This window comes from Homo sapiens, chromosome 9 (assembly GCF_000001405.40).
Source record: "Homo sapiens chromosome 9, GRCh38.p14 Primary Assembly".
Classification (NCBI taxonomy): Eukaryota; Metazoa; Chordata; class Mammalia; order Primates; family Hominidae; genus Homo; species Homo sapiens.
The window spans coordinates 108,023,178-108,037,137 of record NC_000009.12 but is presented as its reverse complement, the minus strand read 5'-3'; positions in this window follow the sequence as shown (position 1 = coordinate 108,037,137).

The following is a 13,960-nucleotide window of genomic DNA, read 5'->3' as shown; positions in this document are numbered from 1 at the left end:
ATAGGTAACTTTCAAACAGCAGTTCCACCTCTATTTGTTCTTTATAATGGGCTTCTGTTTAACATTGCTTTCAAATGAAAAGTTCAATTGCTAAAAGGAAATGGAGAGAGAGGAAGACAGGGAGGGAGAAAGGAAAAGAAAAGAAGAAAGGAAGGAAAGAAGAGAAGAGAGTATTTAAAACCATTGGTCTACAAGACAAAACCTATACATTGACATCCAAGATTCTTGAAGTCCTTGAAGTGACTCTTCATCTTTCCAAGCACCTGCAGATGCTCGAGAAGGGGCTCAGCCTTCATATTAACCCACATCACAGCTGCTATTGTTTTCCCAGAATGTAGTACCATCCTCCCTGCCAGTTCTTTTTCTGCATTGATCCCTCTGCATACTTGACTCTTATTCATCTTTTATGTTTCAAACCAAATGTCCCCTTTCCCATCCTCACCATACATCCACTGCCCCCACTTTAGTGGCTCAGGACAATACTTATCACCACTATCATCCTACTAAGCAGCATTTACTGGGCTTTTAAAATGGGCTAGGAGCTCTGCTAATTGCTTTACTACTATTAACTGCTTTACTACAGGACTGTTGCACAAAAGCCTTGCAAGATAGCATATAATTATGATACCAATTGTATAGGTCCAGATGGGGAAACTGAGGCTTTGAGAGGCTCAGAAGCTTGGGATGTTGCAGAGTGTTCCTGCAGGCTTTGCACAATTGTGTGATTATACATGTATCCTCTTTCTCATCGACCTATGGGCACTGCAGGGGCAGAAACTGAGTTCTATACATCTCTGTGATCTCCTCAAAGCATAGCCTAGCATAGATTCCAGCACGTAGTGGGAGAAAAAAGTACTGGTTTATATGATAAGGATACACATCAGCCTAGAGGAAGAAGGGCCCAGTCTCAATTAGATCACCCTCCTGCCCCTGCCAAAACTTCCCTCCCTTTCACACCACACTGTCCCACTCCCAAAACTGAGCTTAGAGCCTTCTTGCTGCTTCAAAAGCTCCTGTGCTTCCCTTTTTATTAGAGTAATTGTTAGCTATTCTTGAAGACTTGCTACAACTCATTTAATCCTCAAATAAGCCCACAAGCTTTTGCTGTCACAGCTCGATCATATTGCATTCTATCATAGTCTCTTGCTTTTTCAGAGCACCCTGGAGGGTCTCCAAGACTGGGTCCTAGAAGGCTGTGCCTCTGCCTCCCCCACCTCCTGCCCAGGGCTGGGCACCTAGGAGAAGAACTGTAACAGTGCAACAACAGGCAGTTGGCCTGGCCATTAGGTGTGGTGGCCTGGTGTTTTCCCCAGCTGGGCCTCGGCCCTGTGGTCAGTCTCAAGGCTGACCTTCACATCTCAGACCTACTTTTGAATCTGGCTTCTCCCAGGAGCCCAGGTTTATAAACAAAAAACAAACAGAACAAATAAAAACATTATCTCATTGGTGCTTGAGTCAGCTGCTCCAGATGTCTTGGGAAGTGAAGAGGGGAAGGGTGTTTGCTGCAGAGTCAGACAGAACTCAGCCCAGCCTGCAATGGGGCTGCTGCTGGGTGCATGGGGAGTGAGGGCAACTCCTTGGATTTAGTGTCTGCAGCCAATGGGGCCACTTTCACTGGCATCTCTACCCCAACTTGCCCCTACCAGCCAGCCATGATAGATGTTCACAGCCTCCTGGGCACCAGGCTGGCAGCTCTGTAGCTTCAAAGTTGGCACAGGATAGCTGCTCTCATAAATAGAGCTGTTAAATTAGCTACTTTCTATCCATTATCTCATTTAATTTCCACAAATGACCTAAGAGTTCAGGTTTACAAGGCCCATTTCACAGATAAGAAAGTGAAGCCCAGAAAGCTAAAGGATGTGTCCACAGTCACAAGCAAACAAGTTAAAGAACCTGACTTAATGCAAGGTCATCTGCCCCTACTTCTGAGCTTGTCAGTCTACCCCTACTGAGATGTGACAGCCCCAGAGCCGAGAGCCAGCTTCTCAGTCCTCCATCCTCTCTGCTGGGGGCATTTTGAAGGGTGGAATGGGACATTATTAAGGAAAAAATGTCAGCGTCTGTTTCCCAAACCTTATTCCCTCTATTGTTGAGCTACAGCAGAAATTGCTCTGGCCTGGGAGTCAGGGAGCCTGGATTCGAGACCTAGACTTTCTTGCTCCAAAAGCTTTCCATGCACTCAGCAAAGTCACCTCCCTTCTCTGGGATGCAGCTCCTCTGATTATGAGTGAGTGTGTTTGAGATGAGCCCTGACCCCATGCAGCCCACACAGCTGTGACTTCCTGTCCCATATTAGGTGTTACACATTTTAGAGCAATCTTCAATGCTTTTACCTCTTCCGAACATTCCACAGACATGAAACTTTCATCAACATGACAGGTTCACGCAGCACCTCCCACACAGCAAAACTCAGAGCAAGGAGATGTTTGGCAAGGCAGCCTCCTGGCTCTCCCCAGCCATGTGAATTTTCCTCCTCCTGAGCATGTTACAAAGACGCAAGAAACTCCAAGGAGAACTGTACTCCCTTCTCCTATTTTTCTCATGTGTTTCAGGATTTGGCTTTCCCCAGCTTTTCATTCTCCAGATGTGATTCAGAGAAGGAGTTTCATTATGTCTTGACATTTTCCACCCAGTCTGAAAGTCCTGCATGTGGGCCTATCCTGAGGCTCTCTTGCTGTTTATTTAGTCACTAATTAGTGCTGATAGAAATACAAGTGTAGCCTCAAGGTTGCTGCCAAGACCAGCAGCAACCAATTATCTCCTGGAGGTAGGAGTGGATGGGTGGTGATGAAACAGACTCCAAACTCTGGCGAAGCCCAACAGAGCAAGACCATATTGTGGGTGGGGAAGAGGAGGGATGGGGGCAGAGGGTAGAAGGTGGAGGAATATGTGGTGGTGGTCAGGGCACCTTTCATGGGAAAAGTCTAGCTGGACTTAGAAGTTAGACTTAACGTCATGAAAATGATAACTTCTCCCCTCCCTTCTGTTGGCTGACATCATATGTCCTGACTTTAACCCCAGATTAAAACACATTTGAGAAATGTGGGGCTGTCATTGTGGGCCAGGCCAGATGAATTCAAAAACTCAATTCAATCATTTTCAAAGGTGCCAAATGAGCACCTTTTCTAGCCAAGACAGTATTGAGGATATAGAAATAAATGACAGATGGCTCCTGGTCTTAAAGCACTGACCTGGTGTAGGAGGATGGTGAAACAGGTAAAGGAAACTTTGTAAAAAGAGTGGTGACATTGAAGGAAGGGCATCTTAGTTCTGCCTGAAGGTGCTAGGGGAAGGCTTCCTGATGGAGGAGGCATTTGAGCTGGTACTTGAAAGGTGAGCAGGGACTAATGGAGAAGGGAAAGCATTGAAAAGCTTTCTAGACTTTACAGTGCACCACCCTGAGAGGGAGCACATCATTACATTGTATGCCTCAGGTGCCACTTTTGTCTTGTCCTGGTCCCATGGCTGCACAAAAGCATGGAAAGACAAAGTATCTCAGCTGGATCAAGAAACTGAAAGCAGATGCAGGTGAATGCAGCATGATTAGAAAACTCTAGACTGGATGAGAAGTAATGCCCAGGCTAGGAAAGGTCTTATTGTCAGGCTAAGGACGTGGGACTCCAGACCTGCACTGGTCAATATGGTAGCTACTACCCACATGAGGCTATTTAAATTAACTAGAATTAAATAAAATTAAAAATTCATTGAAGGTTTGCAACCCTGAAAAGTAACCTGGCTGCAGGGCAAAGAGGTTACAGACTAGCAGTGATTTGCAAGCCTGTTCTGGTACTCCAGGTGAGCCTTCAAGACCATGGAGAAGAGAAGAGGCTGCAGTATGAGTGCCGTCCTTCTCATACTTCAGATGACTTTAATGAGGATGGAGAAAGTGGTGGGAGATTAGTGCTGCCTTTCTGATGCTCCAGTTGAGTTTTGATGAGGATGGAGAAGGGGATGGGGAATGAGTATTATCCTTCTATTACTCTAGTTGAGCTTTGATGAGGATAAAGAATAGGAGCAGATGGGGGATGAGTGCTGCCCTTCTGGTACTCCAGGAGACTTTGATAAGGATGTAGAAGAGAAGGGAATAGATTAGTGCTATCTTTCTGATACTCCAGGTGAGTTTTGATGAGGATGGAGAAGGGGATGTGCGGCAAGTGCTGCCCTTCTGGTACTCCAGGTGATTTGATGAAATTCGAGAAGAGAAGGAGTTGTGGATAAGTTACTTTTTCACACCCAGGGCCAAGTTTTCTCCAGGGCTGTTGCCCTCTGTAGCTGATGGGCTTGAGTGCTTCTCCTGCAGTTCTTAGGGCCCAGTGTTTTCCGCTTGTCTACTCGGAATCCCGAGCCCCACTCAGGTCAGAAGGGACTTGGGCCCAGTCTGCCTGGGTTTAAATCCCATGGTAGAGGGTGGAGCCAAGATGGCCGAATAGGAACAGCTCCAGTCTACAGCTCCCAGCGTGAGCAATGCAGAAGACGGGTGATTTCTGCATTTCCAACTGAGGTACTGGGTTCATCTCACTGGGGAGTGCCGGACAGTGGGTGCAGGACAGTGGGTGCAGTGAACCGTGCGTGAGCTGAAGAAGGGCAAGGCATCGCCTCACCCGGGAAGCGCAAGGGGTCAGGGAATTCCCTTTCCTAGTCAAAGAAAGGGGTGACAGAGGGCACCTGGAAAATCGGGTCACTCCCACCCTAATACTGCACTTTTCCAACGGGCTTATCAAACGGCACACCAGGAGATTATAGGCCACACATGGCTCGGAGGGTTCTACACCCATGGAGCCTCACTCATTGCTAGCACAGCAGTCTGAGATCAAACTGCAAGGCAGCAGCGAGGCTGGGGGAGGGGCGCCTGCCATTGCTCAGGCTTGAGTAGGTAAACAAAGTGGCCAGGAAGCTCGAACTGGGTGGAGCCCACCACAGCTCAAGGAAGCCGGCCTGCTTCTGTAGGCTCCACCTCTGGGGGCAGGGCACAGACAAACAAAAGACAGCAATAACCTCTGCAGACTTAAATGTCCCTGTCTGACAGCTTTGAAGAGAGTAGTGGTTCTCCCAGCACGCAGCTTGAGATCTGACAACAGGCAGACTGCCTCCTCAAATGGGTCCCTGACCCCCGAGTAGCCTAACTGGGAGGCACCCCCCAGTAGGGGCGGACTGACACCTCACACGGCCAGGTACTCCTCTGAGACAAAACTTCCAGAGGAACGACCAGGCAGCAGCATTTGCGGTTCACCAATATCTGCTGTTCTGCAGCCACCGCTGCTGATACCCAGGCAAACAGGGTCTGGAGTGGACCTCCAGACCGCTCCAACAGACCTGCAGCTGAGGGTCCTGACTGTTAGAAGGAAAACTAACAAACAGAAAGGACATCCACACCAAAAACCCATCTGTACGTCACCATCATCGAACACCAAAGGTAGATAAAACCACAAAGATGGGGAAAAAACAGAGCAGAAAAACTGGAAACTCTAAAAATCAGAGCACCTCTCCTCCTCCAAAGGAACGCAACTCCTCACCAGCAACGGAACAAAGCTGGACGGAGAATGACTTTGACGAGTTGAGAGAGGAAGGCTTCAGAAGATCAAAGTACTCCGAGCTAAAGGAGGAAGTTCGAACCAATGGCAAAGAAGTTTAAAACTTCGAAAAAAAAATTAGATGAATGGATAACTAGAATAACCAATGCAGAGAAGTCCTTAAAGGACCTGATGGAGCTGACAACCATGGTATGAGAACTATGTGACGAATGCACATGCCTCAGTAACCGATGCAATCAACTGGAAGAAAGGGTATCAGCGATGGAAGATGAAATGAATGAAATGAAGCGTGAAGAGAAGTTTAGAGAAAAAAGAATAAAAAGAAATGAACAAAGCCTCCAAGAAATAGGGGACTATGTGAAAAGACCTAATCTACGTCTAATTGGTGTACCTGAAAGTGATGGGGAGAATGGAACCAAGTTGGAAAACACTCTGCAGAATATTATCCAGGAGAAATTCCCCAATCTAGCAAGGTAGGCCAACGTTCAGATTCAGGAAATACAGAGAACACCACAAAGATACTCCTCGAGAAGAGCAACTCCAAGACACATAACCGTAAGATTCACCAAAGTTAAAATGAAGGAAAAATGTTAAGGGCAGCCAGAGAGAAAGGTCGGGTTACCCTCAAAGGGAAGCCCATCAGACTAACAGCGGATCTCTTGGCAGAAACCCTACAAGCCAGAAGAGAGTGGTGGCCAATATTCAACATTCTTAAAGAAAAGAATTTTCAACCCAGAATTTCATATCCAGCCAAACTAAGCTTCATAAGTGAAGGAGAAATAAAATACTTCATAGACAAGCAAATGCTGAGAGATTTTGTCACCACCAGGCCTGCCCTAAAAGAGCTCTGAAGGAAGCACTAAACATGGAAAGGAAAAACCAGTACCACCCACTGCAAAAACATGCCAAATTGTAAAGACCATCAAGGCTAGGAAGAAACTGCATCAACTAATGAGCAAAATAACCAGCTAACATCATAATGACAGGATCAAATTCACACATAACAATACTAACCTTAAATGTAAATGGGCTAAATGCTCCAATTAAAAGACTCAGACTGGCAAATTGGATAAAGAGTCAAGACCCATCAGTATGCTGTATTCAGGAAACCCATCTCATGTGCAGAGACACACATAGGCTCAAAATAAAGGGATGGGGGAAGATCTACCAAGCAAATGGAAAACAAAAAAAGGCAGGGGTTGCAATCCTAGTCTTGGATAAAACAGACTTTAAACCAACAAAGATCAAAAGAGACAAAGAAGGCCATTACATAATGGTAAAGGGATCAATTCAACAAGAAGAATTAACTATCCTAAATATATATGCACCCAATACAGGAGCACCCAGATTCATAAAGCAAGTCCTTAGTGACCTACAAAGTGACTTAGACTCCCACACAATAATAATGGGAGACTTTAACACCACACTGTCAACATTAGACAGATCAACAAGACAGAAAGTTAACAAGGATATCCAGGAATTGAACTCAGCTCTGCACCAAGCGGACCTAATAGACATCTACAGAACTCCACCCCAAATCAACAGAATATACATTCTTCTCAGCACCACACCACACCTCTTCCAAAGTTGACCACATAGTTGGAAATAAAGCACTCCTCAGCAAATGTAAAAGAACAGAAATTATAACAAACTGTCTCTCAGACCACAGTGCAATCAAACTAGAACTCACGATTAAGAAACTCACTCAAAACCGCTCAACTACATGGAAACTGAACAACCTGCTCCTGAGTGACTATTGGGTACATAACGAAATGAAGGCAGAAATAAAGATGTTCTTTGAAACCAATGAGAACAAAGACACAACATACCAGAATCTCTGGGACACATTCAAAACAGTGTGTAGAGGGAAATTTATAGCACTAAATGCCCACAAGAGAAAGCAGGAAAGATCTCAAATTGACACCCTAACATCACAATTAAAAGAACTAGAGAAGCAAGAGCAAACACATTCAAAACCTAGCAGAAGGCAAGAAATAACTAAGATCAGAGCAGAACTGAAGGAAATAGAGACACAAAAAACCCTTCAAAAAAATCAATGAATCTGGGAGCTGGTTTTTTGAAAAGATCAACAAAATTGATAGACTGCTAGCAAGACTAATAAAGAAGAAAAGAGAGAAGAATCAAATAGACGCAATAAAAAATGATAAAGGGGATATCACCACCAATCCCACAGAAATACAAACTACCATCAGAGAATACTATAAACACCTCTACACAAATAAACTAGAAAATCTAGAAGAAATGGATAAATTCCTCGACACATACACTCTCCCAAGACTAAACCAGGAAGAAGTTGAATCTCTGAATAGACCAATAACAGGCTCTGAAATTGAGGCAATAATTAATAGCCTAGCAACCAAAAAAGTCCGGGACCAGACGGATTCACAGTCAAATTCTACCAGAAGTACAAGGAGGAGCTGGTACCATTCCTTCTGAAACTATTCCAATCAACAGAAAAAGAGGGAATCCTCCCTAACTCATTTTATGAGGCCAGCATCATCCTGATACCAAAACCTGGCAGAGACACAAGAAAAAAAGAGGATTTTAGATCAATATCCTTGATGAACATTGATGCAAAAATCCTCAATAAAATCCTGGCAAACCGAATCCAGCAACACATCAAAAAGCTTATCCACCATGATCAAGTGGGCTTCATCCCTGGGATGCAAGGCTGGTTCAACATACGAAAATCAATAAACGTAATCCAGCATATAAACAGAACCAAAGACAAAAACCACATGATTATCTCAATAGATGCAGAAAAGGCCTTTGACAAAATTCAACAACCTTCATGCTAAAGACTCTCAATAAGTTAGGTATTGATGGGACGTATCTCAAAATAATAAGAGCTATCTATGACAAACCCATAGCCAATATCATACTGAATGGACAAAAACTGGAAGCATTTCCTTTGAAAACTGGCACAAGACAGGGATGACCTCTCTCACCACTCCTATTCAACATAGTGTTGGAAGTTCTGGCCAGGGCAATCAGGAAGGAGAAAGAAATAAAGGGCATTCGATTAGGAAAAGAGGAAGTCAAATTGTCCCTGTTTGCAGATGACATGACTGTACATCTAGAAAACCCCATCATCTCAGCCCAAAATCTCCTTAAGTGGATAAGCAACTTCAGCAAAGTCTCAGGATACAAAATCAATGTGCAAAACTCACAAGCATTCTTATACACCAATAACAGACAAACAGAGACCCAAATCATAAGTGAACTCCCATTCACAATTGCTTCAAAGAGAATAAAATACCTAGGAATCCAACTTACAAGGGATGTGAAGGACCTCTTCAAGGAGAACTACAAACCACTGCTCAATGAAATAAAAGAGGATACAAACAAATGGAAGAACATTCCATGCTCATGGGTAGGAACAATCAATATCGTGAAAATGGCCATACTGCCCAAGGTAATTTATAGATTCAATGCCATCCCCATCAAGCTACCAATGACTTTCTTCACAGAATTGGAAAAGACTACTTTAAAGTTCATATGGAACCAAAAAAGAGCCCGCATCACCAAGTCAATCCTAAGCCAAAAGAACAAAGCTGGAGGCATCATGCTACCTGACTTCAAACTATACTACAAGGCTACGGTAACCAAAACAGCATGGTACTGGTACCAAAACAGAGATATAGACCAATGGAACAGAACAGAGCCCTCAGAAACAATGCCACATATCTACAACTATCTGATCTTTGACAAACCTGACAAAAACAAGAAATGGGGAAAGGATTCCCTATTTAATAAATGGTGCTGGGAAAACTGGCTAGCCATATGTAGAAAGCTGAAACTGGATCCCTTCCTTGCACCTTGTACAAAAATTAATTCAAGATGGATTAAAGACTTAAATGTTAGACCTAAAACCATAAAAACCCTAGAAGAAAACCTAGGCAATACCATTCAGGACATAGGCATGGGCAAGGACTTCATGTCTAAAACACCAAAAGCAATGGCAACAAAAGCTAAAATTGACAAGTGGGATCTAATTAAACTAAAGAGCTTCTGCACAGCAAAAGAAACTACCATCAGAGTGAACAGGCAGCCTACAGAATGGGAGAAAATTTTTGCAACCTACTCATCTGACAAAGCGCTAATATCCGGAATCTACAATGAACTCAAACAAATTTACAAGAAAAAAACAAACAACCCCATCAACAAGTAGGCGAAGGATATGAACAGACACTTCTCAAAAGAAGACATTTATGCAGCCAAAAAACACATGAAAAAATGCTCATCATCACTGGCCATCAGAGAAATGCAAATCAAAACCACAATGAGATACCATCTCACACCAGTTAGAATGGTGATCATTAAAATGTCAGGAAACAACAGGTGCTGGAGAGGATGTGGAGAAACAGGAACACTTTTACACTGTTGGTGGGATTGTAAACTAGTTTAACCATTGTGGAAGTCGGTGTGGCGATTCCTCAGGGATCTAGAACTAGAAATACCATTTCACCCAGCCATCCCATTACTGGGTATATACCCAAAGGATTATAAATCATGCTGCTATAAAGACACATGCACACGTATGTTTATTGCGGCACTATTCACAATAGCAAAGACTTGGAACCCACCCAAATGTCCAACAGACTGGATTAAGAAAATGTGGCACATATAGACCATGGAATACTATGCAGCCATAAAAAATGATGAGTTCATGTCCTTTGTAGGGAAATGGATGAGGCTGGAAACCATCATTCTCAGGAAACTATCACAAGGACAAAAAACCAAACACCGCATGTTCTCACTCATAGGTGGGAATTGAACAATGAGAACACATGGACACAGGAAGGGGAACATCACACACCGGGGACTATTGTGGGGTTGGGGGAGTGGGGAGGGATAGCATTAGGAGATATACCTAATGCTAAATGACGAGTTAATGGGTGCAGCACAGCAACATGGCACATGTATACATATGTAACAAACCTGCACATTGTGCACATGTACCCTAAAACTTAAAGTATAATAATAATAAAAATAAAATAAAATAAAATAAATCCCATGGTAGTACTTGCTAAATGGATACATTTATGAAAGTTTAAATCTTTTCTATTCTTGTGTATCTTCATGTGTAACATCGGGCCAATAATAGCACTATATTTTGTGGTTACTAAGAGTCAAATGTGATAACATTTTTAATGCCCTTAAAACAGGACCTAGCACATCATAAGCCTCAGTAAGTAAAAGCTTGTGTCATGACCAAGCAGCAGCACTGTCTTGGGTTTAGAACATAGATTCTGCATCATTCTTCAACTTAAAACTCACTTCAGTCACTTCTTAGCTAGTGGCCTTGACAAATTTATTTCAATTTCACTGTGCCTCCATTCCCTCATCTCTGAAATGGGGGTAACTTGCCTATGTAATAGTACTTGCCTCATGAACTTATTATGAGGGTTCAATGAAATCATGTACATAATAGACTTAGGAAACCACCTGGCATGTATGAAGAGCCCATAATGGTAAATTCTTGTAGTTGCTGTTATTATCATTGCTATTGTTACTATACTTAAGGAAGCAGGGCAATGTTCTGATTCCCTTATACCTACTGGAAAAGTCCACTACCCCACCCCCTAAATATTGCCTCCCTCAAAGAGTTGGGGTAGTACAGACACTGATGTGGAGATTTTGGTTCTATTAGGTTGGTGCAAAACTAATTGCGGTTTTGCCAACTATTTCTTCTCCATAAACTTTCCAATGGAAGCATTTCCTCTTCCTCTGAATGCTTCTAGGAGGCTCCCTGTATTAGTCCATTTTGCATTGCTATAAAGGAATACCTGAGGCTGGGCAATTTATAAAGAAAAGAGGTTTATATAACTTGTAATTCTGCAGGCTGTACAAGAAGCATGGCAGCAGTGTTTACTCATGGCAGAAGTTGTAAGCGGAGCAGGCATGTCACATGGCAAGAGCGGAAGCAAGAGAGATGCCAAGCTCTTTTAAACAATTAGCTCTCACATGAACTAAAAGAAGGAGAACTCACTTATTACCATGGAGAGGGCACCAACCAATTCATAAGGTATCCACCTTCATAACCCAAACACCTCCTACCAGGCCCCACCTCCAACATTAGGGATTACATTTCAACATGAGATTTGGGAGAAATAAACATACAAACTTGATCACTTCCCAAACTCATATTCCAAGTTGCTCAGAGCAACACATTAGAAGTATCTCCTGATAAGTAAGGGGGTTTGGGGGATTTCAGAATCTCTTCTCAGCAACATCTACCTTCTAAGACTCTTGACTCACTATACCCAAGGGGAAAATATTAAAAGCTGGACAGTGATGCTATTCCTCCTATGAACTGTTGCTCAAAATTTTAAAAGTTATTTCCCAGGTAAATAGAGGCCTTGGCTAACTGGGAAAAAAAGGTTCTGTGCAAGAAAATGTGAAAGAAGAATGTGATCTAATACATTTCAGAAGCATACTGGCTTCGTGAGAACTATGTGTCTGTGGAGTTTATACTGCAAGGTGCAGGGTCACAGTATGGAGCTAGGATGAGTGAACATGGGACTTTTCCTCTGTTCCTCACAGGTTTGCAATGAATGTCCCTTTACATAGGACTTCTCAATGATCCCCTGAATGGCTCTTGTTTTAATGACTTTTATTCCAAAGTGATAATGTGTTTCACCAATTTTCTCACTAAAAAGAGATTAAGAGAATGTTGAACTTAATAAATTGTTCTATATGCTCAGATAAAACATCAAATGATATAAAGATGTGCAAAGAAAAAAAACAGTGTTTTTCTTCTCCCATGTGTAACTCTCTCCTTGCCATGTGCTGCACCCTTCCTTGAGGAATCAATGCCACTTGTTTTTCTGTAGAATTGGTCTACATTTTTCTCTATATCAGAACATATACAGACATCATCACCATCAGTTACATTTACTAAGGAACTACCATATCTGGTAAAAGCACCAAATCCTTTCATGTGTGATAACATATAGGGACACACACACATAATGTAAATATATATATACATGTGCATGTATGTATATGTACACAAACACATGTTTGGGGAGAATTAAAAAAATACAAGAAAAACCTAAGCCCAATGCAACATGGCAGATAGCAAACCCACAATACACATTAGCTATTATCACTTTTGTTATGCTTGTCATTGTTGTTATCATCGTATTTCTACAATCACTCTATGAGGTGGGTATTATTGGATAATATTACACATGTGTAAAGATGCAGAAAATTCCATTGAGCTTACCAAGATCACACCTCTACAAGAGTCCAAGCCTGAACACTGAGCAGTTCACATTGGATAAAGTCTGCTCGGAATGAGCAGTAAGACTCCTGGTGAAAAAGACTGTAATTTATACTATTGCTGACAGAGAAACCAAGGCCTCTCTTCACAAAACGTATCATCTCTGGTACAAATGACCAGTCTAATTCATACTTCCGGTGACTGTATAACCTGATTGTACAAAAGTGATGGAAAGAGCCAGGTGAGGCCCTGGGGAATGGTCAAGGAGCTCCTGTCCCGAGATTACCTTCTGCCCTAGGAGGGAGTGAAGAGATGCCCCTGGGCTCACCACACTGGAATCTGTTTACTACTGAGCACCTGCTTCTTGCCAGGCCCTATCCTGCTCCCAAAGACAAAGAGAGAAGCTCTGCATCCAGCTGGGGAGATGGTAAGGTAAAACTGCAAGTAGGGTATAGGTCATAGGTTTCCTGGGACTAAATGAGGTTCCATGTAACATACTTGGGGTAGAGCCCAGTAAACATCATCTGTTAGCAGAGTTTCCATTCAGTTCACTGTAGTGGGCATTCTGACTTCATCATTCGTTTGGCTGAAGGTACTGCTTAAGACATTCTACTTAGTCAGTTATATAAAGTGGGTTTAATTTTTTTTTTTTTTTTGAGATGGAATCTCACTATGTCACCCAGGCTGGAGTGCAGCCATTGAGATGGAATCTCACTATGTCGCCCAAGCTGGAGTGCAGCCGTGCGATCTCAGTTCACTGCAAGCTCCGCCTCCCAGATTCACGCCATTCTCCTGGCTCAGCCTCCCGAGTAGCTGGGACTACAGGTGCCCGCCACCATGCCTGGCTAATTTTTTTGTATTTTTAGTAGAGATGGGGTTTCACCGTGTTATCCAGGATGGTCTCGATCTCCTGACCTCATGATCCGCCCACCTCAGCCTCCCAAAGTGGTGGGATTATAGGCGTGAGCCACCGCGCCCAGTCAAAGTGGGTTTAATTATTTTCAAGGAATGTTTGTTGTTATCCTTAAAAGGTCCTGAGTGATAATCCAACCCCAGGGCTTGGTAAAAAGAGGAAATCAATCAATATTTTGCTCCTGCTTAGGGAAGACTAGAGGGTTGCAGTCACTGCAGTAATTAAGAATATAGGACCTGGAGTTGAAGGCTTCCTCCATCACTAACG